This window comes from Homo sapiens, chromosome 19, assembly GCF_000001405.40.
Source record: "Homo sapiens chromosome 19, GRCh38.p14 Primary Assembly".
Classification (NCBI taxonomy): Eukaryota; Metazoa; Chordata; class Mammalia; order Primates; family Hominidae; genus Homo; species Homo sapiens.
Window position 1 is genome coordinate 18,356,431 of NC_000019.10, and position 27,432 is coordinate 18,383,862.

The 27,432-nt window shown below is 51.8% G+C and overlaps 1 protein-coding gene across 8 annotated transcripts in view, besides 7 other annotated features; it reads left to right on the forward strand.

Moving 5' to 3' along the window:
• PGPEP1 (pyroglutamyl-peptidase I) overlaps positions 1-13,520 on the forward strand; it is a 29,353-nt gene extending 15,833 nt beyond the window's left edge. For 3 of the 8 annotated variants that reach the window (NM_001329478.2, NM_017712.4, NM_001329477.2), the window contains 2 exons: positions 953-1,185; positions 6,961-13,520. In NM_001329478.2, coding sequence (NP_001316407.1) covers positions 980-1,185; positions 6,961-7,153 — 399 coding nt within the window. In that variant the 5' untranslated portion in view covers positions 953-979 and the 3' untranslated portion in view covers positions 7,154-13,520. The remainder of the gene's footprint in view (positions 1-952; positions 1,186-6,960) is intronic. The other 5 variants (NR_138029.2, NM_001308366.2, NM_001329471.2 and 2 more) reach the window with 4 other exon arrangements.
• Positions 5,554-6,339: an enhancer, noted in NCBI's record as "H3K27ac hESC enhancer chr19:18472794-18473579 (GRCh37/hg19 assembly coordinates)". NCBI's record gives its function as "activates a minimal SCP1, AML or CMV promoter by ChIP-STARR-seq in primed H9 embryonic stem cells {active_cell/tissue: H9 hESC(primed)}" and the evidence as "EXISTENCE:reporter gene assay evidence [ECO:0000049][PMID:30033119]".
• Positions 8,489-8,783: an enhancer, noted in NCBI's record as "tiled region #798; HepG2 Activating DNase unmatched - State 5:Enh, and K562 Activating DNase unmatched - State 5:Enh". NCBI's record gives its function as "activates a minimal TATA promoter and a strong SV40 promoter by Sharpr-MPRA in HepG2 and K562 cells {active_cell/tissue: HepG2 | K562}" and the evidence as "EXISTENCE:reporter gene assay evidence [ECO:0000049][PMID:27701403]".
• Positions 17,022-18,221: an enhancer, noted in NCBI's record as "MED14-independent group 3 enhancer chr19:18484262-18485461 (GRCh37/hg19 assembly coordinates)". NCBI's record gives its function as "activates an origin of replication core promoter dependent on BRD2, BRD4, P300/CBP and CDK7 cofactors, and independent of MED14, by STARR-seq in HCT116 cells {active_cell/tissue: HCT116}" and the evidence as "EXISTENCE:reporter gene assay evidence [ECO:0000049][PMID:35650434]".
• Positions 17,409-17,703: an enhancer, noted in NCBI's record as "tiled region #10546; HepG2 Activating DNase matched - State 5:Enh, and K562 Activating DNase unmatched - State 1:Tss". NCBI's record gives its function as "activates a minimal TATA promoter and a strong SV40 promoter by Sharpr-MPRA in HepG2 and K562 cells {active_cell/tissue: HepG2 | K562}" and the evidence as "EXISTENCE:reporter gene assay evidence [ECO:0000049][PMID:27701403]".
• Positions 17,433-17,652: an enhancer, noted in NCBI's record as "active region_14315". NCBI's record gives its function as "activates an Ori minimal core promoter by ATAC-STARR-seq in GM12878 lymphoblastoid cells {active_cell/tissue: GM12878}" and the evidence as "EXISTENCE:reporter gene assay evidence [ECO:0000049][PMID:35858748]".
• Positions 19,070-19,297: a silencer, noted in NCBI's record as "fragment chr19:18486310-18486537 (GRCh37/hg19 assembly coordinates)". NCBI's record gives its function as "represses an EF-1alpha promoter that drives an FKBP-Casp9 reporter gene in an ReSE screen in HepG2 liver carcinoma cells {active_cell/tissue: HepG2}" and the evidence as "EXISTENCE:reporter gene assay evidence [ECO:0000049][PMID:32094911]".
• Positions 24,012-24,579: an enhancer, noted in NCBI's record as "H3K27ac-H3K4me1 hESC enhancer chr19:18491252-18491819 (GRCh37/hg19 assembly coordinates)". NCBI's record gives its function as "activates a minimal SCP1, AML or CMV promoter by ChIP-STARR-seq in primed H9 embryonic stem cells {active_cell/tissue: H9 hESC(primed)}" and the evidence as "EXISTENCE:reporter gene assay evidence [ECO:0000049][PMID:30033119]".

Below are 27,432 nucleotides of genomic sequence, written 5' to 3' on the forward strand. Positions count from 1 at the left end.
TCAAAAAAAACAAAAAAACCCAAAGGGCTATCCAGGCCAAGGGTAGTGGCTCATGCCTGTAATCCCAGCACTTTGGAAGGCCGAGGCAGGAGGATTGCTTGAGTCTAGGAGTTTGAGACCAGCCTGGGCAGCATAGTGAGATCCCATCTCTACAAAAAAATTTAAAAATTAGGCATGATGGTACATGCTTATAGTCCCAGCTACTCAGAAGGCTGAGGCAGGAGGATTGCTTGAGCCCAGGAATTTAAGACTGCAGTGAGCCAAGATTTTTATGCCACTGCACTCCAGCCTGGGCAACAGAACAAGTCTCTTAAAAAAACAAACAAGACCAGGCATGGTGGCTCACGCCTGTAATCTGAGCACTTTGGGATGCTGAGGCGGGTGGATCACCGGAGGTCAGGAGTTTGATCCCAGCCTGGCCAATATGGTGAAACCCTGTCTCTACTAAAAATACAGAATTAGCCAGGTGTGGTGGCGCATGCCTGTAATCCCAGCTACTTGGGAGGCGGAGGCCAGAGAATCGCTGGAACCCAGGAAGGGGAGGTTGCAGTGAGCTGAGATCGCGCCACTGCACTCCAGCCTGGGCGACAGAGCAAGACTCCATCTCAACAAAGAAACAAAAACACTGCATTGGCATTTTAACACTTGCATAGCAGCTCATTATTTATTGAACTAACTCCGCTGGATGGCTAGTTAACTTGTTTGCAGTATTTGATTTTGATAACAAGAACAGCTGCAGTGAACAGCCCTTCATGTTTCAAATTCTTGCCTGTCTTACATGGCATACCTTTTTCCAAGAGTGACTGCAGGGTCTATTCTAGCAGCAAGAGGTCAGAAACAACACAACCCCAGGCAGAGCTCATTAAGGATGCTGCCTTTTCCCTGGCCTCAGGGGGACCCCTCTGAGTCCCACGGGCAGGCCATGTTAAGTCCTGCCCCTGTCTGTGTGCAGCTGGTGGTGCATGTGGGGGTGTCAGGCATGGCGACCACAGTCACACTGGAGAAATGTGGACACAACAAGGGCTACAAGGGGCTGGACAACTGCCGCTTTTGCCCCGGCTCCCAGTGCTGCGTGGAGGACGGGCCTGAAAGCATTGACTCCATCATCGACATGGATGCTGTGTGCAAGCGAGTCACCACGTTGGGCCTGGATGTGTCGGTGACCATCTCGCAGGATGCCGGCAGGTAGGGCCCTGTGGGGTGGGAGTGAGTGGGGATTTCCCTCCTCCACCCACTGAGCCTGGTGTAGAACAAGCCAAGCGTGTTGACCTTGGCCTCTTTGGACCAAGCACTCAGTGTATACTAGGCACAGAGCCAAGTATTTGTACGTAGCAGGTGCCGTTGGTTCTGCTCCTGGGACTCATGGATCTGCCCACTTCTCCCCACCATCACGGTCCCCACCAAGGCCCCCAGCATCTCCCACCTGGACACTGCCCCAGCCTCCATCTCAGTCTTCCTCCCTGCTGCCTCCACCCCAACCCAAGCAGTCAGTTTCTGTGTTAATTTCCTGGAGCTGCTATAACAAATACCCACAAACTGGGTGGTTTCATATAACAGAAATGTATTGTCTAACAGCCTTGGAAGTCAGAAGTCCAAGGTCAAGGTGGTAGCAGGACTGGTTCCTTCTGGAGGTGCTGAGGGTGAGTCTGTCCCAGGCCTCTCTCCTGCAGCTGGTGGCTGCTGGCCATCCTTGGCTTGTAGACACATCGCTCCAGTCCCCGCCCCTATCCTCACATCACTTTCTTCCCTTTGTGTGTGGCCGTGTGGTCTTCTTATTAGGACACCAGTCATTATATTTAGGACTCATCCTAATCCAGTATGACTTTTTTTTTTTTTTTTTTTTTTTTGAGACGGAGTTTTGCTCTTGTTGCCCAGCCTGGAGTGCAATGGCGTGATCTCAGCTCACTGCAACCTCCACCTCTTGGGTTCAAGCGGTTCTCCTGCCCCAGCCTCCCAAGTAGCTGGGATTATAGGCATGCACCACCACGCCCGGATAATTTTATACTTTTATTAGAGACAGGGTTTCTCCACGTTGGTCAGGCTGGTCTCGAACTCCCGACCTCAGGTGATGCACCCACCTCTGCCTCCCAAAGTGCTGGGATTACAGGCATGAGCCACTGCGCCCAGCCGACCTCATCTTAATTTAACTAATTACATCTGCAAAGATCCTCTTTCCAAATAAGGTGACATTCTTTTTTTTTTGAGATGGAGTTTTGCTCTTGTTGCCCAGGCTGGAGTGCAATGGCGCCATCTCGGCTCACTGCAACCTCCGCCTCCTGGCTCAAACAATTCTTCTGCTCCAGGCTACCAAGTAGCTGGGATTACAGGCGTGCATCACCAGACCCAGCAAATTTTTTGTATTTTTAGTAGAGATGGGGTTTCACCATGTTGGTCAGGCTGGTCTCGAACTCCCGATCTCAGGTGATCCACCCTCCTCAGCCTCTCAAAGTGCTGGGATTATAGGCATGAGCCACCAAACGTGGCCCAAATAAGGTCACATTCTGAGGTCCCAGGTGAACACGAATGTTGAGGGAGATGATTCTATTGCAAAAGGTCTTTTATAAATTTAAATCAGGGCCAGGCGCAGTGGCTCATGCCTATAATCCTAGCACTTCGGGAGGCCAAGGCAGGAGGATCGCTTGAGCCCAGGAGTTCAAGACCAGCCTGGGCAACATAAGGAGACCCCATCTGAACAAGTAAAAAAAATAGCAGGCTGAGACAGGAGGATTCCTTGAGCTTGGAGTTCAAGGCTGCAGTGAGCTGTGATAGCGCCACTGCACTTCAGTCTGGGCAACAGAGCAAGACCCTGTTGGCTCTAAATAAATAAATGCATGTGTTCCTTTCCTAGACCTTCCCTATGGCTCCCATTGCACATAGAATAAAATTCCAACCCTGGCCCTTGGCCCGCCTCTCCACCCCGCTCTGCCTCTACTCACCCCATATCCATTGCACTCCAGACACATGAACCAGCTTCCTCCTGCTCCTCAAACACACCAAGTTCACTCCAGCCTCAGGGCCTTTGAACACCCTATGGCCTCTGCCCAGAACACCTTCCTCTGGGAACACCTCTTTCCAGTCTTTTTTTTTTTTTTTTTGAGATGGAGTCTCGCTCTGTAGCACAGGCTGGAGTGCATTGGCGCGATCTTGGCTCACTGCAACCTCCGCCTCTGACGTTCAAGTGATTCTCCTGCCTCAGCCTCCCAAGTAGCTGGGATTACAGGCGTGCGCCATCATTCCCAGCTAACTTTTGTATTTTTAGTAGAGGCGGGGTTTTGCCATATTGGCCACACCAGGGTGGTCTCGAACTCCCGACCTCAAGTGATCCACCCACCTCAGCCTCCCAAAGTGCTGGGATTATAGGCCTGAGCCACCGCGCCTGGCCCTCTTTCCAGTCTTAATTCCAACACGAGTCACCTCCTTGTGACTTGTAGGCCTCTCCAACTCCCCAGACCAAGTTATACCCTCCCAGCACCAGCTTCCTCACTTTTCCCTAATCTGTGCGCTTGTCCAACTCAAAGGCAGCTATTGGTCAATGCAGTTGAGTAGCTGAAGGAAGGAATGCCTGGATTTACCATCAGGATTTTTGTTTTTGGAGACAGGATCTCGCTCTGTTGCATAGGCTGGAGTCAAGTAGTATAATCACAGCTCACTGCAGCCTCCATCTCCTGGGATTAAGTGATCCCCCGCCTCAGCCTCCCGAGTAGCTGGGACTGCAGATGGACACCACCACGTCCAGCTAATTTTTGTATTTTTTGTAGAGATAGAATCTTGCTACATTGCCCAGGCAGGTCTTGAATTCCTGGGCTCAAGTGATCCTTGTGCCTCGGCCTCCCAAAGTGCTGGGATTATAGGCAAAAGCCACCGCACACCACTGAGTTCTTTTTAAAGCTAACTTTTTCTCTTTTTTAATTGAAAACTAATTGTTATTTAGTTGTTTATTTATTTTGACAGGATCTCGTTCTGTATCCCAGGCTAGAGTGCAGTGGCAAAATCACAGCTCATTGCAGCCTTGACTTTTTGGGCTTAGGTGATCCTCCCACCTCAGCCTCCCAGGTAGCACAACCAAACCCAGCTAATTTATTTTTTATTTTTATTTTTTTTGAGACAGAGTCTTGCTCTGTCGCCCAGGCTGGAGCCAGGCTGCAGTATTGTGGCACAATCTTGGCTTGCTGCAACCTCCACCTCCCGGGTTCAAGCGATTCTCCTGCCTCAGCCTCCTGAGTAGCTGGGATTACAGGTGCCCATCACCACACCCAGCTAATTTTTGTATTTTTAGTAGAGATAGGGTTTTATCATGTTGGCCAGGCTGGTCTCGAACTCCTGACCTCAGGTGATTCGCCTGCCTCGGCCTCCCAAAGTGCTGGGATTACAGGCATGAGCCACCGCGCCTGGCCTAATTTTATTTTATTTTAGTTTTTTTGAGACTGCGTCTAGCTTTGTCACCCAGGCTGGAGTGCAGTGGCTCGATCTTGTTGCACTGCAGCCTCCATCTCCCGGGTCAAGTGATTCTCCTGCCTCAGCCTGCAGAGTAGCTGGGATTACAGGCACCCACCACCACACCCAGCTAATTTTTGTATTTTTAGTAGAGATGGGGTTTCACCATGTTGCCCAGGCTGGTGTTGAACTTCTGAGCTCAAGCAATATGCCCACCTTGGCCTCCCAAGGTGCTAGAATTACAGGTGTGAGCCTCCGCACCCAGCTCAATTTTCTTTCTTTTTTTTTAAAGACAAGAGTTTCGCTCTTGTTGCCCAGGCTGGAGTGCAATGGCAGAATCTCAGCTCACCGCAACCTCTGCCTCCCAGGTTCAAGTGATTCTCCTGCCTCAGCCTCCCAAGTAGCTGGGACTACAGGTGCCTGCCACCATGCCCAGAAAATTTTTGTATTTTTAGTTGAGATGAGGTTTTCAGCATGTTGGCCAGGCTGGTCTTGAACTCCTGACCTCAGGTGATCCACCCGCCTTGGCCTTACAAAGTGCTGGGATTACAGGCGTGAGCCACCGCGCCCGGCCACCCAGCCCAATTTTTTTGTATTTTTGGTAGAGACAAGGTGTTGCAATGTTGCCCAGGCTGGTCTCGAACTCATGGAGTCAAGGGATCCTCCCACTTCAGCCTCCCAAAGTGCTGGGACTACAGGTGTGAGCCACCATACCCAGCTTCCATCAGTCTCTTTATAAAATTAATTTTTAATCATAGGTAACTCTAGAACATATCCTCATATGTCTAATTGGGAAAAATTCTCATTCCCTCTCTTTTTCCATAGCGGTCCCTCTGATAAGTCAGACACGGAAACCATGAAGCTCCTACTGACTGACACGTTTCCGTACATATATACATCACTTGGCCTGCTGCTTTATGATTTTATCTTGTTTTGCTTTGCTTTTACGTGGATGGAGTCACATGGCGAAAGTCACACTTACTGAGAATTCTCATCCTTAGTTTTCATTTGTGAGCGTTCAACATGCATCTGGCGAGTTCTCCATTTTTTTCTGGCTGTACCACATTCCTTGTAAACAGATTCATAGGATTCCATGGTGTGGATAAACCAGAGTTTACTAAGCCACTCCCTGTCAGTGGGCTTTAGGTTGCTTTCTGTTTTCCTGCTTTTATACATAATACGATGGGGAGCATCCCTGTTTGTACTTTCTTGTACCCTTGTGCAGATGGTTCCTGAGGGTAGATCTAAAAACGGGAAATAGGCCAGGCGTGGTGGCTCACGCCTGTAATCCCAGCACTTTGGGAGGCCGAGGCAGGCGAATCACTCGAGGTCAGGCGTTCCAGACCTGCCTAGCCAACATGGTGAAACCCCGTCTCTACTAAAAACATAAAAATTAGCCGGATGTGCTGGCAGGCACCTGTAATTCCAGCTACTCGGGAGGCTGAGGCAGGAGAATCGCTTGAACCCGGGAGGCGAAGGTTGGAGTGAGCCAAGATCTCAACACTCCACTCCAACCTGGGTGACAGAGTATGACTCCGTCTCAAAAAAATAAATAAATAAAAATAAAAACTGGAAATAGGGCCAGGCACGGTGGCTCACACCTGTAATCCCAGCACTTTGGGAGGCTGAGGTAGGCGGATCACTACAGGTCAGGAGTTTCAGAACAGCCTGGCCAGCATGGTGAAACCCTGTCTCTACTAAAAATACAAAAATTAGCCAGACGTGGTGTGGCCCACGCCCGTAATCCCAGCTACTCGGGAGGCTGAAGCAGGAGAATCACTTGAGCCGAGGAGGCAGAAGTTGCACTGAGCTGAGATTGTGCCACTGCACTCCAACCTGAGCAACAGAGCAGACTCTGTCTCAAAAAAAAAAAAAAAAAAAGCCAGTGGTGGTGGTGCACACCTGTAGTCCCAGCTACTCAGGAGGGTGGGGTAGGAGGATCGCTGGAGGCCAGGTTGCACTCCAAACTGGGTGACAGAGTGAGACCCTGTCTCAATAAACAAAAAATGGAAATACCAGGTTGTAAAGTCTGGGTGATTATAATTTTACTAGCCTGACAAATTGCCTTCCACACGGGGACAACCAGCGTGCCTTCCCACCAGCAATAGCTCACTCTGCCCATTTCCCCACATGTGCCACAGCACTGGGAGTTATCAAGTTTTTTTTGTTTGTGTGTGTGTGTGTGTGTGTGTGTGTGTGTGTGTTTTAAAGAGACAGGATCTCACTCTCTCACCCAGGCTGAGTGCAGTGGTGCAATCATGGCTCACTGCAGCCTTGACCTCCTGGGCTCAAACAATCCTCCCGCCTCAACCTCCTGAGTAGCTGGGACTACAGGCACGTGCCACCACCTCTGGTGATTTTTTTTCATCTTTGCCAACCTGGGGAGGGAGGAGAGTGTTGTTCCATCTTGTGGGTTGCTGGTAAGGTCTTCCCTTGGATTTGGATGGGTGCTGTCACCTTGGTCTACGGATTGCCCCTCTGACCCCGTTTTGGTCTCTCTCTTACCCGCCACGCCCTGCGGCTTAGATATCTCTGCGACTTTACCTACTACACCTCTTTGTACCAGAGTCACGGTCGATCAGCCTTCGTCCACGTGCCCCCACTGGGGAAGCCGTACAACGCGGACCAGCTGGGCAGGGCACTGAGAGCCATCATTGAGGAGATGTTGGACCTCCTGGAGCAGTCAGAGGGCAAAATCAACTATTGCCACAAACACTGAGGGACGCTCAGGTCTCCTAAGACCTCATCCTGCTGGGGACCCCACGAGGGGACATCCACCCTCTGGGGTGTGGCCAGGAAAAGACAAGCTCTTCAGCTTGGGGATCCGATCTGGAAGAGAGATTCTGATCTGCCCACCTCCTCTTCCTCCTTCTCTACAAAAGCTCCGGTTGATTCGAGGGAAGTGGTGAAAATTTTTTTTTCTCCCATTTTCCTCCCTGCATCTGGGGACACAGCTGCCGTGACCAGGGAGGCCAGCCTGGGAGGTCCAGATGCCCAGGGAGAATCTTGGTCTGGTGAATCCATGAGCTGCGATACCACGGCTGGGGCCATATGTTCACCTGCTTTCCTGTCCGTTGGTGAAGGAATTTCAGAATTCATTTTATATCCAAGACTGGCTTTTACCAAATTTAAAAGCCTCTCAATGCGTCCTCGACCTTGAACTGTGCTCAACAGCCTGGCCCTTTCTGGGGCCACCCTGGGATATGGCTGGCTGGCTGGCTTTCTTTCTTTCTTTCTTTCTTTCTTTCTTGCTTTCTTTCTTTCTTGCTTTCTTTCTTCTCTCTCTCTCTTTTTTTTTTTTTTTAAATAGTGCTAGTTTGGGCACAGAGTAATTTATATTCCCTTTGGTTAAAATGCAGGCTTTTTAGCCAACAACAAAAGTGTTTTCCCCCCACCCCCACTCGCCCACCAGGGTGATGCCACTTTTGCCTCCTGCCCTGAAAATTGGACTTAAGATGCCATGTCTTGGCCAGGCGCAGTGGCTCATGCCTGTAATCCCAGCACTTTGGAAGGCCAGGGTGGGCGGATCACCTGAGATCAGGAGTTCAAGATCAGCCTGGCCAACATGGTGAAACCCTGCCTCTACTAAAAATACAAAAATTAGCCGGGCATGGTGATGAGTGCCTGTAGTCCCAGCTACTCGGGAGGCTGAGGCTGGAGAATCGCTTGAACTTGGGAGGCAGAGGTTGCAGTGAGCTGAGATTGCACAGCTGCACTCCAGCCTGGGTGACAGAGCGAGACTCTGTCTCAAAACAATTGGACTTAAGATGGCATGTCTTTGTTTTAGGGCCAAAAATGAGGCCCCCTTGCTTAAGGCATGGGGTCCGTGGCCAGGCAACGGGGTGGGACTGCTGCCCCAGATGTGGCCATGGGGGTCGTGGTCCTTTCAACACCAAGCTATGAGCTGTCGCCATGGAGACCAGGGCCACCTGTGGAAAGGCGGATTTTGTCTGCTTTTGACTTTTCTTTTTTAATATGTAAAACTCCACATCAGCGGAAACCCCCCCCTACTTCTGGCCTGGAGCTTCAGGGTTTTGGTGCTGGGACGAGTTTGTTGTTCTCCTTAGCGGGGTGGCGCGGGGGGCTCAAAACGGGGGCGCGGGGGCTGGAGTTGGCAGAGCTCTGCATGTCCCGGCATGTCTGAGCAGGAGGAATTCCGGGCGGCCAAAGGGTTTTATGTAGATTGCTTTTGGACACTCGCCCAGGAGTCAGGAGTTGATTTTTATCTCACTTCCTGGTAACCTTGAACTTACCAGGCAGGGATGAGATGACGTAAACTTCCTCAGATGATGTAAGTTCAGCCACATCTTGCTGCCCATTAGGGAGAGAGGACGACCCCCACAGTGAAAGTAATTGAGTGAAATGCACGTTCTGGAAATCAGTTTCTATTTTGGCCTGGAGGAATGTGGCTATACTGCTTCCCTGAGTGTGACACAGTTGGAATCTAATCTTGTTGGTTTCCCAACATCTAGGTTTTTGTTTGTTTGTTTGTTTTTATGATAGGGTCTTGTTCTGTTGACCAGGCTGGAGTACAGTAGTGTGATCATGGATCACTGCAGCCTCTACCTCCTGGGCTCAAGTGATCCTCCCATCTCAGCCTCCTGAGTAGCTGGGACTACAGGCATGCACCACCACACCTGGCTAATTTTTAAATTTTTTATACAGACAGGGTTTCACCATGTTGCCCAGGCTGGTCTCGAACTCCTGGACTCAAACTGATCCTCCTTTCTCGGCCTCCCAAAGTGCTGGGATTACAGGCATGAGCCACTGCACCCAGCCCAGTTCTTTCTTAAAACAGCTGAGAGTTTTGTTTTCTTCAGCGTTCACCTTCCTTGTCTCCAGTTCCGATGCTGGCAGTGGTTCCTACCTCTGTTGGGTTTCTAGATAGTTTGGGAACGGGGTTGATGGGTTTCTGTGAAACACATTTTCCAAGTCTTGGGCTTTCTCTGGAGGGGAAGGTGGATGCTGGCGGGTGACTTGCAGTGGGCGCCTGGCAGTGGGTGTGGACTGTAACTGACAGGTGGAAATGAGTAGGGACACTATTGTTCCCTCCATGCCAGCTTTTTTTTTTGCTGGAAATGCCCCCTCCACACCCCTGGTAGCTCTGTGTCCTGAGAAATCCAGAGTGTGGGAGACATCACTGCATCTGTCCCCCCAGCTTCTGTGAAGGGAAGCTGTGGCCTCTTTTGAATGTGGGGAACAACTGAAGACTCAGGGGTCACCCAGAGGTCTGGTGGAAAGCAACTTCAGGTTTCATCTTGCTCTATTCCTCAAAGGTCTGGTCTGTGGGCCTCTGAGGAGAAAACAGGTCTAGCCAAGACAGGGACAAAATGGGGAAGGGGATGTGCCAGGCCTGAACTGAGCTAAGCACCTGCCCCGGGCTCCACACTTCCATCTTTCTTTTGTCTTCATTTCACCTCTGTGTTTAAAGCACTGTGTGACATAGCTCCTTAGAGATATAACCTATTGTCTGCTCATTGTCACGTGTGTGTGTGTCATCTTTGTATTCTTGCAGTGGTTTCACATTTCCTTACCCAGTCAAGCCAGTATCCCATCCTTCCTCATAATGCACAACATTTGGCTCATTTTATTTTTCTCATTGTTATTTTTTATTTTTATTTTTTGAGATGGATTCTCACACTGTTACTCGGGCTAGAGTGCAATGGCGTGATCTCGGCTCACTGCAACCTCCACCTCCTGGGTTTACACAATTCTCCTGCCTCAGCCTCCCGAGTAGCTGGGATTACAGGCGCCCGTCACCACACCTGGCTAATTTTTGTATTTTTAGTAGAGATGCAGCTTCACCATGTTGGCCAGGCTGGTCTTGAAATCCTGACCTCAGGTGATCTGCCTGCCTTGGCCTCCCAAAGTGCTGGGATTACAGGTGTGAGCTACTGCGCCTGGCCAAGTTTTTTACAAATATTTTTCTTTTGGTGGAACTCATCTGTGCACTCTCTGGTGTGTTTTTCCACCTTTGTTGGGTCTTGGCTTAAAATATCCTCATGTGGGCTAGGTGTGGTTACTCACACCTGTAATCCTAGCACTTTGGGAGGTTGAGGCAGGAGAATCCCTTGAGCCAGGAGTTCAAGACCAGCCTGGGCAACATAGCAAGAGATCCCATATCTACCAAAACATACAAGAATTAGCCAGATGTGGTGGTGCATGCCTGTGGTCCCAGATACTCAGGAGGCTGAGGCAGGAGGATCACCTATGCCTGGGAGGTTGAAGCCCCAGTGAGCCATGATCACACCACTGTAGTCCAGCCCGGGTGACACAGCAAGACTCTGTCTCAAAAAAAAAAAAAAAAAAAATCCTCATGCAAGAAGGGAAGGACCAAGTCCCATTCCCTCTTGCCTCATTTTCAGAGCCTGGGGTAGGGGCTACAGGTGGCATAGGAAGGGTCTGCAAGGTGGGTGGGACTTGGCAGGTGTTGGGAAGAGGAATAGGGGTGGCAAGTGTCAATGGTGAAAAGACAGGCTGAGGGGTGTGGTGGGAAGGCTGGGGGAGAAAGGTGAGAAGTGATTGGGGGGGCTTCCCTGATGAGTCCTCATGGAGGGTGCTGAGGCAGGGAACAGGGGTGCAGGGACAGTGATCAGGGCACCTGGTACCCTGACCAACTTGATGATGGCATCTCTTTTAAGATGCCCAAGTCTGCGCACTTTTATTCCTTTATTCGGCCCCTAGCACCCCCTCCCCACCCCAAAGAAGGTCAGTTGCATGCGTGTGGGGATGTAGCTCAAAAAAGAAATAAGATGGAGTGGAAAGGAAAGAAAGGAAGAAGCAGGAATTCAAGGTGGGTGGGCTGAGCTTGGGGCCACCTAGCCCACCTGCTCCAATCAAGGGCTGGAACAAACCTGAGGCCACTTGGAGAGGCAGGGCTGGGCAGGGACAGGGGGTGGGGGCCGAAATCACAGCTTCCCCATCAGAGCCAGATGTGTGAAGGAAATGTCCCAGATGGCAGTAGTTTCTCGGCAAGGAGGGGAATCCTGGAGATGGTTCATGTCTGTGATCCCAGTGCTTTGGGAGGCTGAGGTGGGAGGATTGCTTGAGCCCGGGAGTTCGAGACCAGCCCTGGGCAACATGGCGAGACCCCATCTCTACAGAAATTAAAAAAAAAAATTAGCCAGTTGTGGTGTCAAGCACCTGTAGTCCCAGCTACTTGGGAGGCTGAGTTGGGAGGCTTATCTGAGCCCAGGAGGTGAAGGCTGCAATGAGCCATGATTACACTACTGTACCCCAGCCTGGGCAACAGAGCAAGACCCTGCCTCAAAATTAAGAAAAAAAAAAGGGGGGCCAGGCGCAGTGGCTTATGCCTGTTATCCCAGCACTTTGGGAGGCCAAGGCAGACTGATCGCTTGAGGCCAGGAGTTTGCGACCAGCCTGGCCAACATAGCAAAACCCCATCTCTACTAAAAATACAAAAATTAGTCAAGAGTGGATGGTGCGTGCCTGTAATCCCAGCTACCTGGGAGGCTGAGACAGGAGAATTGCTTGAACCTGGGAGGCAGAGGTTGCAGTGGTGTGAGATCACGCCACTGCATTCCAGACTGGGCAACATAGCAAGACTCTGTCACAAAAAAAAAAAAAAAAAAGAATTCCCTGCTCTGCTTTTCTGCTCGTTGCTGGCATAGAAACATCTAGAACAGAAAGTATCCACTCTGGGGCAGATGGGAGAGCTGGAAAAGTAGATTCAAGATGCCTTTTAGTCTTGGAAGTTTCTTCCAGGAAGCAAGACCAGCTGGTATGTTTACACCTGCACTCCAGTGCCCTGGGGAGGTGACCAGGTGGAGGGGGATGGCTCATGGAAATCTGTCCCGCACAGCTGGCCCCCTTTTGGCTGCCACTGTCTAGACTGTTGGCCTTTGACCTCTCTGCCTCTTGTGGCGTCTGAACCTAGACGTCCCTTTTGGAGACAGCTGGACAAAGCCCTATTCTCCGCAGCCCCAGCCTCTATCCTGAGGCCTCTGGGAGCTGCGTGACGGCCAGCATGGGGTGCTGATCATGGTCAAGGAGGCAGGTCTTTGCCAGGTTGCCCCATGCAGCCACCCATCCTCAGCATCCTAACTTGAGGGGGCAGGAGAGGGCTTTGTTTTTATAATCCGGATTAAATTTCCCTTCCCTGGGCACAAGTGCCTCATGAGGGCCCGGGGCTGCTGGTTGGGAGGGAAAGCATCCCCGTTTTTGCAGTGAGGAGGCCGGCCGAGGGCTGGGGTTCCACTTAGACCCTTGGCAGAATGGCTGTTGAGGGGCAGGCGCTGCCCAGTGCCCACGTCTGGAAAGCTAATTCCCGGGTGGACGCTGAACATACCTGCTGAGAGACTCTGTCCCCTGGTTTCCAGGACAGTTGTCACAAGCTGAGTGGGGGGGGACTCCCAGGACTTGAGGGACCCAGTCCCACCCCAAACTGCTCCCCCTCCCCCAAATTCCCTTTCTCCTCCTGCTCTTTCTCCCCGCTGTGCCTCCCCCAGTTACCCACAGAAGTGCCTGCCTCTCCAGCGCTCACAGAACACACAAAAAGGGACAGGAATTGGTCACTGGGTAGTGGCCGTGGCTCCTGACGATCCAGACCAGCGTCTGGCCCAAGCCATTCAGAGGTGGGGTCTGGGGCCTGGGGGTTTTGTGTCGTGACACTTTGTCTCAAGGAGATTCCACATAGGGATTTGAATTAGGCTTTCTGCTTGCCAAGGCCTGTGGCATCTGAGCCTGGCTGAGGGCCGGGCAAGCCTCCCCTGAGCCTTTGGAAGCCGAGTTCACTCTCTGCCTGCCCAGGGGAGCACCGGCTTGGTTCTGGGGGCTCCTCTAACATCTCAGGTTTTTATCTTGTCTTAAATTTCTTTCTAGGAAAAAACCCTTCCCTGCCAAAGGTGACTGTGTTTTCTGCCGCCGAAGGAGGGCCCGGTCCCTCCAGGCTCAGTGTGGCTTCTCCCTGACCCCCGCCCTAGAACTTTTGCCAGTGCCTTTTCTGAAACTCCTGTGTCCCGGGCCCCCCAGGCGGAGAAGGATATGCCGGATTCTGCCTGGGGCTGGGCTCTAGGAGACCCCAAATTTGACACCACAGAAAGCAAATAAAACACTTGAAATACGCATACATTTCCTGTGTGTCCTTTTGTGGGGCTGGAGTTCAGCTGGGTGCCCGGGGATAGAGGGGACCCCGTGTCACTGGGTTTCTATTCTCGGTGGTGCTGGGCCCAGGGCAGCTGGTGACCATGTGCTGAGTGAGCGAGAGGAGGGGAATTCTGCCTCCAGTGGTCTCCTTCCTCAAAATCAGAGGCCTGGCCCAGCGCAGTGGCTCACACCCGGAATCCCAGCACTTTGGGAGGCCGAGGTGGGTGAATCACCTCAGGTCAGGAGTTCCAGACCAGCCTGGCCAACATGGCGAAACCCCGTCTCTACTAAAAATACAAAAATTAGCCAGGTGTGGTGGCACGTGCCTGTAATCCCAGCTACTCAGGAGGCTGAGGCAGGAGAATCGCTTGAACCCGGGAGGCGGAGGTCACAGTGAGCCAAGATCGCACCACTGCACTCCAGCCTGGGCAACAGTGTGAGACTCAGTCTCAAAAAACAACAACAAAACCCGCGGACCTTTGTTCCAACACACAGGGAGGTTGAGGAACTTGCCTGTGGTAACACAGGCACTGGGGTTTGAGCGATGATCTGCATCAACCTCCAGGGCATACAAAATCCCCATCATGGCTGGGCACGGAGGCTCACGCCTGTAATCCCAGCACTTTGGGAGGCTGAGGCCGGTGGATCACCTGAGGTCAGGAGTTCAAGACCAGGCTGACCAATATGGTGAAACCCTGTCTCCACTAAAAATACAAAAATTAGGCCAGGCGCAGTGGCTCACACCTGTAATCCCAGCACTTTGGGAGGCCGAGGCGGGCGGATCACAAGGTCAGGAGATCAAGACCATCCTGGCTAACACGGTGAAACCTCGTCTCTACTAAAAAATACAAAAAATTAGCCGGGCACGGTGGCAGGCACCTGTAATCCCAGCTACTTGGGAGGCTGAGGCAGGAGAATGGCGTGAACCCAGGAGGCAGAGTTTGCAGTGAACCGAGATCGCGCCACTGCACTCTGGCCTGGGCAAAAGAGCGAGACTCCACCTCAAAAAAAAAAAAAAATACAAAAGGTAGCTGGGTGTGGTGGCAGGCACCTGTAATCCCAGCTACTTGGGAGGCTGAGGCAGCAGAATCACTTGAACCCGGCGGGTGGAGGTTTCCGTGAGCTGAGATCACGCCACTGCACTCCAGCCTGGGCGACAGAGCAAACAAGACTCCACTTCAAAAAAAACAAAAAATCCCCATCATTCTGACAGGGGATGCCATGCCATTGCCACCTTTACAGACAGGGAAACTGAGTTTCCACCAGTTGAAGCCCCTTGTCCCCTATGTCACGGCCAGGGAGAGTAGGGGTGGGAATGTGAACCCAGGCGGGCTTCTCTGGAGCGGAGGGCCTTGAAGAACACAAATGGACATGTTCATTCCCTACGCCTGTCCTCAGCAGGAATGAAGACACCCTGGTCTCTGGCTCTCTGAGAATAAACTTTTGACACCAAAGGGACTTGGACAACAGTTAGGAAGATGTCCTGGAGCAAGTGGACCCCGTGGGTTGGGGGAACTTCTTGGACTCACAGAGGACTGAGGGTTCTTGCACCCCCAGTGGAGGTATTCATATCTGGGTGGTCTTTCCCATAGGGTCGACTCTTATTATTGTTATTTAATGTAGAGACAGGGTCTTGCCATATTGCCCAGGCTGGTCTCAAACTCCTGGGCTTAAGTTCTCTACCTGCCTCGGCCTCCCAAAGCTCTGGAATTCCAGGCATGAGCCACCATACCCGTCCCTTTGCTGTCTTGAGCCTTAGTTTACCCATTTCTCGTGGGGCTTTTGTGGCAATTCAATGAGATTCTGCTTTTACAGCCCTTAACTTGGAGCCTGGTGCCCTGTCATTGCTCAGTAAATACAATGATCAGGGTGTGGGCTCTCGCTTATAATCCCAGCACTTTGGGAGGCCAAGGCGGGTGGATCACTTGAGGTCAGGAGTTCGAGACCAGCCTGGGCAACATGGTGAGACCCCCCCCCCCCATCTCTACAAAAAATACAAAAATTAGACAGGTGCAGTGGCGCACACCTGTAGTCCCAGCTACTCAAGAGGCTGAGGTGGGAGGATCACCTGAGCCTGGGGAGGTCAAGGCTGCAGTGAGTGGTGATCGTGCCACTGCACTCCAGCCTGAGTGACAGAGTGAGACCCCATCTCAAAAACAAAAACCCGGTCGGGTGCGGTGGCTCATGCCTGTAATCCCAGCACTTTGGGAGGCAAAGGCAGATGGATCATTTGAGGTCAGGAGTTTGAGACCAGCCTGGCCAACATGGAGAAACCCCATGTCTACTAAAAATCCAAAAATTAGCCAGCCATGGTGGTAAACACCTGTAATCCCAGCTACTCGGGAGGCTGAGGCAGGAGAGTCGCTTGAACCAGGGAGGCTGAGGTTGCAGTGAACTGAGATCGCGCCACTGCACTCCAGTCTGGGTGATAGAATGAGACTCCGTCTCAAAAAAAAAAAAACCCCACAAAATAAATACAGTTACCATCACCTCCTCTTCCAGGAAGCCCTCCTGGCTACCTAGGCATCTCCTCTGACTCCTACAGCTGCCTGGGTGTCCCCATTGTAGCACTCTGGGTGGTAATTGACAGCCTCTGTGAGAGGGTGGATGGGTATGTGTGGGGCCCCCTCTGTGTCTTCTGTGCCCAGCACAGTGCCAGGGACACAGTAGGGAAGCAATAAACTGCTGGGAGGAGAGGTGAGTGCTGTGGGTCCACTCCTGAGGCCAGCCAGGGGCTCAGCAAGGCACCAATGCCTCCTCCCAGGAGTGAAAGATGCTGGAATCACCAGGCTCCTCCTGCAGTCTGGGGTCCCCACCTAAGGAGGCCCCTCACCCCGTGGCTGTCCCAGTCATTCAGGAAGTGTCCACTGTGGGCTGAGCCCTGGACTGGGGACACAGCAAGGATCAGGCAGCTGGGAGTACAGCCTGGAGGTCCCCCCTTGGGATGAGGGCTGCACAGGCAGTTAAAGGGTCCAAGGATCATCCCAGGATATGGCTGAGAGGCTGCAAGAGGCTCCATCCCCTAGAGGCCCCCTCCGCCCTCGCCTGGGTGCTCCCAGCCTTACTCAAAGGAGCAGGTCGGCCCGGTGCGTTGTCTCACACCTGCAATCCCAGTGCTTTGGGAGGCCGAGGCAGGCGGATCACTTGAGCACAGGAGTTCCAGACCAGCCTGGGCAACATAGCAAGATTCTATCTCTACAAAAGTAAAAATAAATCTTATAAAGTAGCTGTGGACTGGGCACAGTGGCTCACACCTGTAATCCCAGCACTTTGGGAGACCAAGGTGGGCAGATCACCTGAAGTCAGGAGTTTGAGACCAGCCTGGCCAACAAGGTGAAACCCCATCTCTACTAAAAATACAAAAATTAGCCAGGCATGGTGGTACACATCTGTAATCCCAGCTACTCAGGAGGCTGAGGCAGGAGAATCCCTTGAAACTGGGAAGCAGAAGTTGCAGTGAGCTGAGATCGTGCCACTGTACTCCAGCCTGGGTGACAGAGTGAGACCCTGTATCTAAAAAAATAAAATAAAAATGAAAAGATGAGGATCTTGGCCTCCATTCTTGCCCTTCCACTCCATTCCAACTGCTGAGCCTCTCACACCCTCTGTGGCTCCCTTTCGCCTACAGGAAATAGGATTTCTGTACTGGGCATTTGAACCCCATTCCCTTGTTTCTGCTGACCCCCAGCAGTCTCAATATCCCCTACTTCCTCTTCCCAGAACCACCCTCCCCAAAGCCCTTATCGATGCTTGGAGGATTCCTATGCATCCCTCAAAATCCAAGGTTTGGGAAAGATGCTGCAGTGGTCTCAAGACATCCTCAGTGTGATGACAGCCTGGGGTGGGGGTAAGGGGGCAAAGTACAGCACCAGAAATCCCAACTGAGTCCCCCCACACGTCTTCCACCTTCCCACCCTCTCTTTCGGGTTCTGGCTCCCTGCCTCCAGGCAATCACCAGTTTTTACCAGGAGTGCCTCAGACCTGCCCGGACATGTCCAAGTCCCCTAGAAGCAGGGAGGGGTGGGTGAGGCTGTCACCTCTCCCTTCCCTGTATGGTGCTGATAAGGGCGTGGGGAGGCAGAGACAGGCAGAGATAGACATGATGAGAGACAGGCAGAAATGGAGGGAGAGCCAGGGAGAGAGAGACACAAAGAGAAAAAGTGGAAATTCTCCAGATATTTTGTTTAGGGTGAGGACACGGAGACACAGAGAGGGACTTAGCCAGCTGAGGATGACGATTTGGGATGTTAGGTCACCCAGGTGCTGTGCTGTGTAACTCAGGCACAGAGCTGCCCTGTTCCGAGCCTCAGTTTACCCCTGTGACTCAGAGCAGATCTCCATACCCCCATCACAGGGCTGTGTATCCGAGCTCAGCCAGAGCCTGGCATGCAGTAGGTGCTTCATAAATACACACTGTGGACAGTAGAATTATGATGGGAGCGAGCGTGTGAACTGGGTTGCTAATGTGGAGCGTGAAGAGGGAGGCCCAGGGTTACTCGGCCAATGGGTTCCGGGCAGCAAGCACGTGGGGGAAGCCTCAGCTGACCACTTCCTGGCCAGTTTATGCAGGAACTCGCACAGCCGGTCCCTGAGGCTGAGCCCACCACTTCCGCCCCCCATGGTCCCAGCCCTGCTGACTCATACTCAGCTGCCACGGTCCGCTTTCCCTGCTGAGCACGGGGGTGGGGGCGGGGGGGAAGAGGGGGAGGGAAGGGCACCTGACCGAGGCCAGAGGCCCAGAAAGGACAGAAGGTCATGGCTGGGGAGAAGCAGGCAGGAGAACCGAGTCTTGGCCTTAACTGGCTGGCAACGTAAAACCTGCCCTCCACAAGGACAAGATGAAAACTTGGGGATTTGGAGGGGACAACAAATTAGACTCAATCACAATTTCAAACTTTTGGATGTCAATATATCCATCAAGAAATTGAAAAGAGGCCTGGCATGGTGGCCGATGCCTGTCATCCCAGCACTTTGGGAGACCAACGTCGGAGGATCACTTGAGGTCAGGAGTTCCAGACCAGCCTGGGCAACGTGGTGAGACCCGGTCTCTACAAAAAAATTTAAAAATTAGCTGGACAGGGGCCAGGCGCAGTGGCTTACGCCTGCAATCCCATCACTTTGGGAGGCCGAGGCCTGGATGACAGTGAGAGACTCTGTCTAAAAAAAAAAGGACAGGTGCGGTGCTTCGCGCCTGTAATCCCAACACTTTGGGAGGCCAAGGCAGATGGATCACCTGAGGTCAGGAGTTCGAAACCAGCCTGGCCAACATGGTGAAACCCCATCTCTACTAAAAATACAAAAATTAGCCAGGTGTGGTGGCGCATGCCTGTCGTCCCAGCTACTTGGGAGGCTGAGGCAGGAGAATCACTTGAACCCGGGAGGCAGAGGTTGCAGTGAGCCGAGATCGTGCCATTGCACTCCAGGCTAGGTGACAGACAGAAACTCTTGTCTCAAAAAAAAAAAAAAAAAAAAACCCACCAGAGATAAAAATGGGCAGCAGATGACATTGTTTACATAATACTGACCACAAACTTGATGTCCTAAAAGAACAGGGACTTCTCTCAGAGTTCTGGAAGCCAGAAGTCCGAAATCAAGGTGTCACAGCAGGACTGGTTCCTTCTGGAGGCTGTCAGGACTCAGAATGTGATACTCCAAAGTATGGCTCCTTGGCAAAAACTTTGTGGTTTTTGTTTTTAGAGACAGGGTCTTGCTCTGTCACCCAGGCTGGGGTGCAGTGGTACAATGATAGCTCACTGCAGCCTCTACCTCCTGGGCTCAAGCAATCCTCCCACCTCAGCCTCCCAAGTAGCTGGGACTACAGGCATGCGCCACCACACCTGGCTAATTACTTTTATTTTTGTAGAGATGAGGTCTCGCCGTGTTGCCCAGGCTGGTGTCAAACTTCTTCTTCTTCATTTTTTGTTTTTGAGATGGAATCTCGCTCTGTTGCCCAGGCTGGAGTGCAATGGTGTGATCTTGGCTCACAGCAACTTCCGCCTTCTGGGTTCAAGTGATTCTCCTGCCTCAGCCTCCCGAGTAGCTGGAATTACAGGCATGTACCACCGTGCCTGGCTAATTTTGTGTTTTTAGTAGAGACGGGGTTTCTCCATGTTGGTCAGGCTGGTCTTGAGCTCCTGACCTCAGGGGATCCACCTGCCTCAGCCTCCCAAAGTGCTAGGATTACAGGCGTGAGCCACCGCGCCCAGCGAAGACAGTTATTTTAAAGTATTTGTCTAGTGAGTCTGATGTGTGGGCTTCCTTAGGGATGGTTTCTGTCTGTTAATTTTGTTCCTTAAAATGCGCCACACTTTGCTGTTTCTCTGTATGCCTAGTGATGTTTTTGTTGTTGAAAAGCGAGCATTTGAATATTCTAAATTATGGTAACTCCAGAAATCAGATTCTCCACCTTCCTGAGAGTTTTGTGATTTTTGTTTCTGTTTTTAATTATGGAAGGCAGTAGCCATCTCTTTGTTTAGATAGTTTTCCAAACCGCTTTTTTTTTTTTTTTTGCAAAGACTGTATTCCGGCCGGGCCCGGTGGCTCACGCCTGTAATCCCAGCACTTTGGGAGTCCGAGGCAGGTGGATCACGAGGTCCGGAGATCGAGACCATCCTGGCTAAAACGGCAAAACCCCCCTCTCTACTAAAAATACAAAAAATTAGGTGGGCATGGTGGCGGGCACCTGTAGTCCCAGCTACTCGGGAGGCTGAGGCAGGAGAATGGCGTGAACCCGGGAGGCGGAGCTTGCAGTGAGCTGAGATCGTGCCACGGCACTCCAGCCTGGGCGACAGAGCGAGACCCTGTCTCAAAAAAAAAATAAAATAAATAAAATAAATAAATAAATAAATAAACCTGTTCCCCAAATATATATATGAAATTAAAACATGCGTGGTCATGATCAAGTTCTAATTACAGACAAAGACTTCCTTGAGATTGGGGAGAACCTGCCTTGGACTACGGGGACCACTTCAACTCTCTTGGGAATGATTTTTCTTTAGGTGGGTGCTGGATAGGGGTGTTTGTGATTTTATTATTAATACTTTTGTGTGTGCCTGAAAGATTTCACAATGACAAATAAAACTGAGAGGAAAAGGTTTGGCAGTTCCCCATTAAGTTCAATACAGGGTTACTCTGTGACCCAGTAATTCCACTCCTCAGTAGAGAGCCAAGTGAAATGAAAACAGGTGTTCAAACAAAAACGTGTACACCCACTTTTACAGCAGCATTCTTCATCAAGGCGAAACTACAGTACAAATATTGTAAGATTCCATTTCTGTGAAATGTTCCGAATAGGTAAATCTATAAAGGCAGAAATTAGGCCAGGTGCAGAGGCTCATGCCTGTAATCCCAGCACTTTGGGAAGCCGAGGTGACAGGATCGCTGGAGGTTAGGATTTGAAGACCAGCCTGGGCAACATAGCGAGATCCCATCTTTACAAATTTTTTTAAAAATTAGCAAGGCACTGGCTGGGTGAAGTGGCTCACGCCTGTAATCCCAGCACTTTGGGAGGCCGAGGCGGGTGGATCACCTGAGGTCCGGAGTTCGAGATCAGCCTGGGCAACACGGTGAAACCCCCGTCTCTACTAAAAATTCAAAAATTAGCTGGGCATGGTGGTGCATGCCTGTAATCCCAGCTACTCGGGAGGCTAAGGCAGGAGAATCGTTTGAACCCAGGAGGTGGAGACTGCAGTGAGTCGAGATGGCGCCATTGCACTCCAGCCTGGGCAACAAGAGTAAATCTCCATCTCACAAAAAAAAAAAAAAAAAAAAAGCAAGGCACAGTGGCATCAGGCTGGGGTGGGAAGATCACTTGAGCCCAGCCATTCGAGACCAACCTGTGCAACACAGGAAAACCCCATTCTACAAAATAGTAAAAAATTATCAGGGCATGGTGGCACATGCCTATAGTCCCAGCTACTCGGGAGAGTGATGGGGGAGGATCACTTGAGCCCAGGAGGTCGAGGCTGCGGTGACCTATGATTGTGCCACTGCACTCCAGCCTGGGCTACACAGCCAGACCCTGTCTAAAAAGAAACAAAACAGGCAGGACGCGGTGGCTCACACCTGTAATCCCAGCACTTTGGGAGGCCGAGGTGGGCGGATCACCTGACATCAGGAGTTCGAGACCAGCCTGTCCAACATCGTGAAATCCCCCTCTCTACTAAAATACAAACATTAGCCGGGCATGGTAGTGGGTGCCTGTAATCCTACCTACTCGGGAGGCTGAGGCAGGAAAATTGCTTGAACCTGGGAGATGGAGGTTGCAATGAGCCGAGATCGCGCCACTGCACGACAGCCTAGGCGACAGAGCAAGACTCCATCTCAAAAAAAAAAGAAAAAGAAAAAAAGAAGAAACTCTCATTGATGGAGTGTTCATTGATGGAGCACTTTTTGGGAGTGGGTTGACATGCTCACAGGTGTTTTTAACCTCACCTCGTCTCTGAAGAGGTGCAGATAAAAGTCACCTGGTGAGGAAAATGCCTTTTTAAAAACAATTTTTAGAGGGCCAGCACGGTGACTCACGACTGTAATCTGAGCAATTTGGGAGGCCGAGGTGGGCGGATCACTTGAGGTCAGGAGTTCAAAACCAGTCTGGCCAACATGGTGAAATCCTGTCTCTACTAAAAATACAAAAATTAGTTGGGCATGGTGGCACATGCCTGTAATCCCAGCTACTCGGGAAGCTGAGGCAGGAGAATCACTTTAACCCAGGAGGTGGAAGTTGCAGTGAGCCAAGATCGCGCCAGTGCACTCCAGCCTGGGCAACAGAGCGAGACTCTGTCTCAAAAGAAAAAAAAAAGAGATGGGGTCTTGGGGTCTCACTGTGTTGCCCAGGCTGGTCTCCAACTCCTGGCCTCAAGCAATCCTCCTGCTTTGGCCTCCCAAAGTGCTAGGATTACATGCCTGAGCCACTGTGTTCAGCCAGGGTGTCCCTTTTCTGAGACTGCATTCTTTCCACCTTGCCCAAGTATTGCAGGAGAACCACAGGCCCCATGCTGTGCTGGCGAAAATCTCATCTCATGCTGGCCTGTTAGGGTGGCCATATCCTCTCATTTCAGAGGCTCTGAGGGAGATGGAACAGGCTCAGCGGCTGGCTGCTTGGGGCTCTAACCCCAGCCCTGCTGTCTTCTGGCTGTGTGGCCGTGACGAGCCCACCTCTCTGGCCTCAGTTTGTCATCTGTGAAATGGACATAATCTATCCACCACATCAGGCTGTATAAAGATTAGGCCAGGTGTGGTGCCTCACACCTGTAATCCCAGCGCTTTGGGAGGCTGAGGCAGGCAGATCACCTAAGGTCAGGAGTTCGAGACCAACCTGGCCAAAATGGTGAAACCCTGTCTCTAATAAAAATACAAAAATTAGCTGGGCATGGTGGCATGTACCTGTAATCCCAGCTACCCAGGAGGCTGAGGCAGGAGAATCGCTGGAACCCGGGAGGCAGAGGCTGCAGTGAGCCAAGATTGCACCACTGCACTCCAGCCTGAGTGACAGAGCGAAACTCCGTCTCAGAGAAAAAAAAAAAAAAAAAAGATATGTCCAAGTCCTAACGCTCAGTATCTGTGACCTTATTTGGAAAGAAGGTCTTTGCAAATGTAATTAAACTAAAGATCTTGTACTGAGATCATTCTGAATTAAGAATGGACCTGTGGCTGGGCACAGTGGCTCACACCTGTAATCCCAGCACTCTGGGAGGCTGAGGTGGGCAGATCACCTGAGATCAGGAGTTCAAAACCAGCCTGGCCAACATGGCGAAACCCCGTCTCTACTAAAAATACAAAAAAAAATTAGCTGGGCGTTGTGGTGCACACCTGTAATTCCAGCTACTCGGGAGGCTGAGGCAGGAGAATCACTTGAACCTGGGAGGCTGCAGTGAGCCGAGATTGCGCCACTGCATTCCAGCCTAGGCAACAAGAGTGAAACTCTGTCTCGAAAATAAAAACATAAAAAGAGTGGACCCATGGCCAGGCACAGTGGCTCATGCCTATAATCCCAACACTTTGGGAGGCCAAGATGGAAGGATCGTTTGAACTCAGCCGTTTGAGACCAGCCTGGGCAACATAGTGAGACCCCTGTGTCTAAATACAAACACAAACAGAAAACAAAAAGAACCCGGGCTGGCTGCGGAACCCCCTAGATGGCACAGGCACATCCTGGCTTTCGAGGACAGTCACGAGCATGAGACAGCATTTCTTCTTGTCCTCGGGGCCTGCAGGAAGTTTTTAAGTAATCTGCTTTTGTGCCTCTTCCAAATCTCCTCCTATGACCCTGTTTACCTTACATCACAAGAAACAATCAATAAAAGTGGTTTGTGTTCGTGAGTGCCGTGTGTTTGACAAAGGCGTTGATAACTGAGAGCTGGTAGTGGAGGGGGGAGATTTTGGGAGATTGGGGCCCTGCCAGGTGGACGGACTGGCCTGACCTCCGGCCCCTGTGCTCTGTTTACTTCCATCCCAGCTCCACCTCTGGGGACCCATGGAAGCTGTCGGTGAGGAACACAGGATCCGACCTGCTGAGCTCATCTCTGGCCACCTGCCTGCATCCGCCCCATCTCTCCTCTCAGCTTGGCCATGAGGCGGGCTATGAGGTCATTGGTTAAAGATTTGGGGAAGCAGAGCCAGGCGAGTGGCCAGATGTGGTGGCTCATGCCATCACAGGATCCCAGCACTGTGAGAGGACAAGGAAGGAGGATGCTTGAGCTCAGGAGTTCGAGACCAGCCTGTACAACATAGCAAGACCCCCGTCTCTACAAAATATAAAATTAGCCAGTTGTGGTGGCACGCGCCTCTAGTCCCAGCTACTCGGGAGGTTGAGGTGACAGGATCCCTTGAGCCCAGGAGGTCGAGGCTGCAGTGAGTGGGTAACAGAGCCAAACCCTGTCTCTAAAACAAACAAAAACAGAAACAAAAAGTACACTACTTACTGTCCTGCTTCTCACCATTCCAGCCTGGTAGTCCTTTTTTTTTTTTTTGAGACAGGGTCTTGCTCAGTTGCTCAGGCTGGAGTGCAGAAGCGTAATCACAGCTCACTGCAGCCTTGATCTCCAAAAAGACTACCAGCTTGGCTGGGTGTGGGGACTCATGCCTATAACCCCAGCATTTTGGGAGCCAGAGGCAAGAGGATTCCTTGAGCCAAGGAGTTCGAGACCAGCCTGGGCAACACAGTGAGACCCTATCTCTAAAATTTTTTTTTTTTGAGATGGAATTTAGCTCTCGTTGCCCAGGCTAGAGTGCAATGGTGCAATCTCAGCTCACCACAATCTCCACCTCCCAGGTTCAAGCAAAATTCTCCTGCCTCAGCCTCCCGAGTAGCTGGGATTACAGGCATGCGCCACCATGCCCGGCTAATTTTGTATTTTTAGAAGAGACGGGGTTTCTCCATGTTGGTCAGGCTGGTCTCAAACTCCCAACCTCAGGTGATCTGCCTGCCTTGGCCTCCCAAGGTGCTGGAATTACAGACATGAGCCACCGTGCCCAGCCTAAAAAAAATTTTTTTAAAAAATAGCTGAGTGTGGTGGCACATGCCTATAGTCCCAGCTACCCAGGAGGCTGAGGTGGGAGGATTGCTTGAGCCCAGCAGATCAAGGCTGTAGTGAGCCAAGATTGTGCCACTGCACTCCAGCCTGGGCAACTGAGCGAGACCCTGTCTCAAAAAAAAAAGAAAAAGGAAAAAGAAAAAGAAAAAAAAAGGACTACCAGGTGTTTTTTTTTTTTTTTTTTTTTTGAGACGGAGTCTCGCTCTGTCGCCCAGGCTGGAGTGCAGTGGCGCAATCTCGGCTCACTGCAAGCTCCGCCTCCCGAGTTCTCGCCTTTCTCCCACCTCAGCCTCCCGAGTAGCTGAGACTACAGGCACCCACCACCATGCCTGGCTAATTTTTTTGTATTTTTAGTAGAGAGGGGGTTTCACCGTGTTAGCCAGGATGGTCTTGATCTCCTGACCTCGTGATCCGCCTGACCTCGGCCTTCCAAAGTGCTGGGATTACAGGCACGAGCCACCGCGCCCAGCCTGGTGTCCTTATTTCTTGGGAAAGGATACAGAGGGTCAGAGAGGCGCCCCAGCTTGTGCAGGAATGCATTCCTGAGATCTGGCCTGGCCGTGGTCACTGGAGTGTTTACTCTGCTTACAGGGTCTGGTGTAGTGGGGGATGGCTGGGTAGGAACGTGCGGGCTATAAAGCCAGACCCCAGGTGTCAGTGCGGTTCAGAAAGCAACTAGCACAGCCATGCCCAGGCCAGGACCCGTGACACAGCGATGCTCTCAGATGCTGCTGATGTTACAGATGTTGTTGGGGGCACCCTGAGGGGGCACCCTGACTCTGCAGGTGAGAACCTTCTGGGGTTCCTAGGACCCTCGGACAAGCACTCTGATCCGGATGACTCCAGGTCCCAGGAGTTGCAGAAACGCCACCAGGACCTTCAGAGCACCAGTTAGACAAGGAGAGCCAGGAGGAGCTGGGCCCCAACCTCATCCAAAAGCACAGGTGAGCTCTGAGACCTCCACCCCCAGGACAGCCCCCACGTCTATTTTCTTTTTCTTTAAAGATGTTCTTATTTGGGGGCCAGGCGTGGTGGCTCATGCCTGTAATCCCAGCACTTTGGGAGGCCGAGGCAGGCGGATCACCTGAGATCAGGAGTTCGAGACCAGACTGGCCAACATGACAGGGTGAGACCCCATCTTTACAACAAATACAAAAATTACCCAGGCATGGTGGCACACGCCTGTAATCCCAGCTACTAGGGAGGATGAAGCAGGAGAATTGCTTGAACCCGGGAGGCGGAGATTGTAGTGAGTTGAGATCGCACAACTGCACTCCAGCCTGGGCAACAGAGCGAGACTCCAATCCAAAAAAAAGAAAAAAATCCCCTAGGACAGGGCTGTGGCTGAGACCCTGAGGGCTGGAGGCTTGGCTGGCCTTGCACAGCAGCGGGTGCATGCTGGGGTGGGGAGAGGCCTGGAGACCCTGTGACTCCACTGGGGGCCTTGCTGTGTGACCCCCTAGTGAGTCCTTGTGTCTCTTACCCACGCATGCCTGTCACATGCAGACACCCACACACACCCAGTATCTGCCGGACAGGGCAGCCCTTCCTCTCCGCAGCCAGGAAGCTGGACATAGGCACAAGGGCTGACGCCTGGGGCCAGGAATCCTGCCTGAGCATTAGGAGAAGGTCTGGAACCCCAGGGGGAAGGGCACTCCTGGGGCATCCCCTGCCCCTCTACCATCTGGTGGCTGGACTCTACACCAGCCTGCCCTGCTCTAAAACCCCAGCTCCTCAATTCTGTGCCACCTCCTCTCTGGGCCCAGACAAGAGCAGATTCATCCCTGCCCCAAAGGAACCACCAGTCTTGGGTCAGCAGAGCTGGGCACAGACACTTCCAGTGCCGTGGGGCTGTAACTGTGATAGGTCTGTTGCTCCATGCACTTGGCAAGTCAACAGCTGAGAAAACAGGTTGCAACATGGAAAGAGTTTTAATCCGACCGGCGTGGTGGCTCATGCCTGTAATCCCAGCACTTTGGGAGGCTGAGGCGGGTGGATCATCTGAGGCCAGCAGTTCAAGATCAGCCTGGCCAACCAGGTGAAACCTCATCTCTACTAAAAATACAAAAATTAGCCAGGCGTGATGGTGCGCACCTGTAATCCCAGCTACTTGGGAGGCTGAGGCAGGAGAATCAATTGAACCTGGGAGGCGGAGGTTGCAGTGAGCCAAGATCATACCACTGCACTCCAGCCTGGGCAACAGAGCGAGAGACTGTCTCGGAAGAAAAAAAAAAAAAAAAAGGCTGGGGGCAGTGGCTCATGCCTGTAATCCCCACACTTTAGAGGCAGAGGCCGACGGATGACTTGAGGTCAAGAGTTCGAGACCTGCCTGGCCAACATGGTGAATCACCGTCTCTAC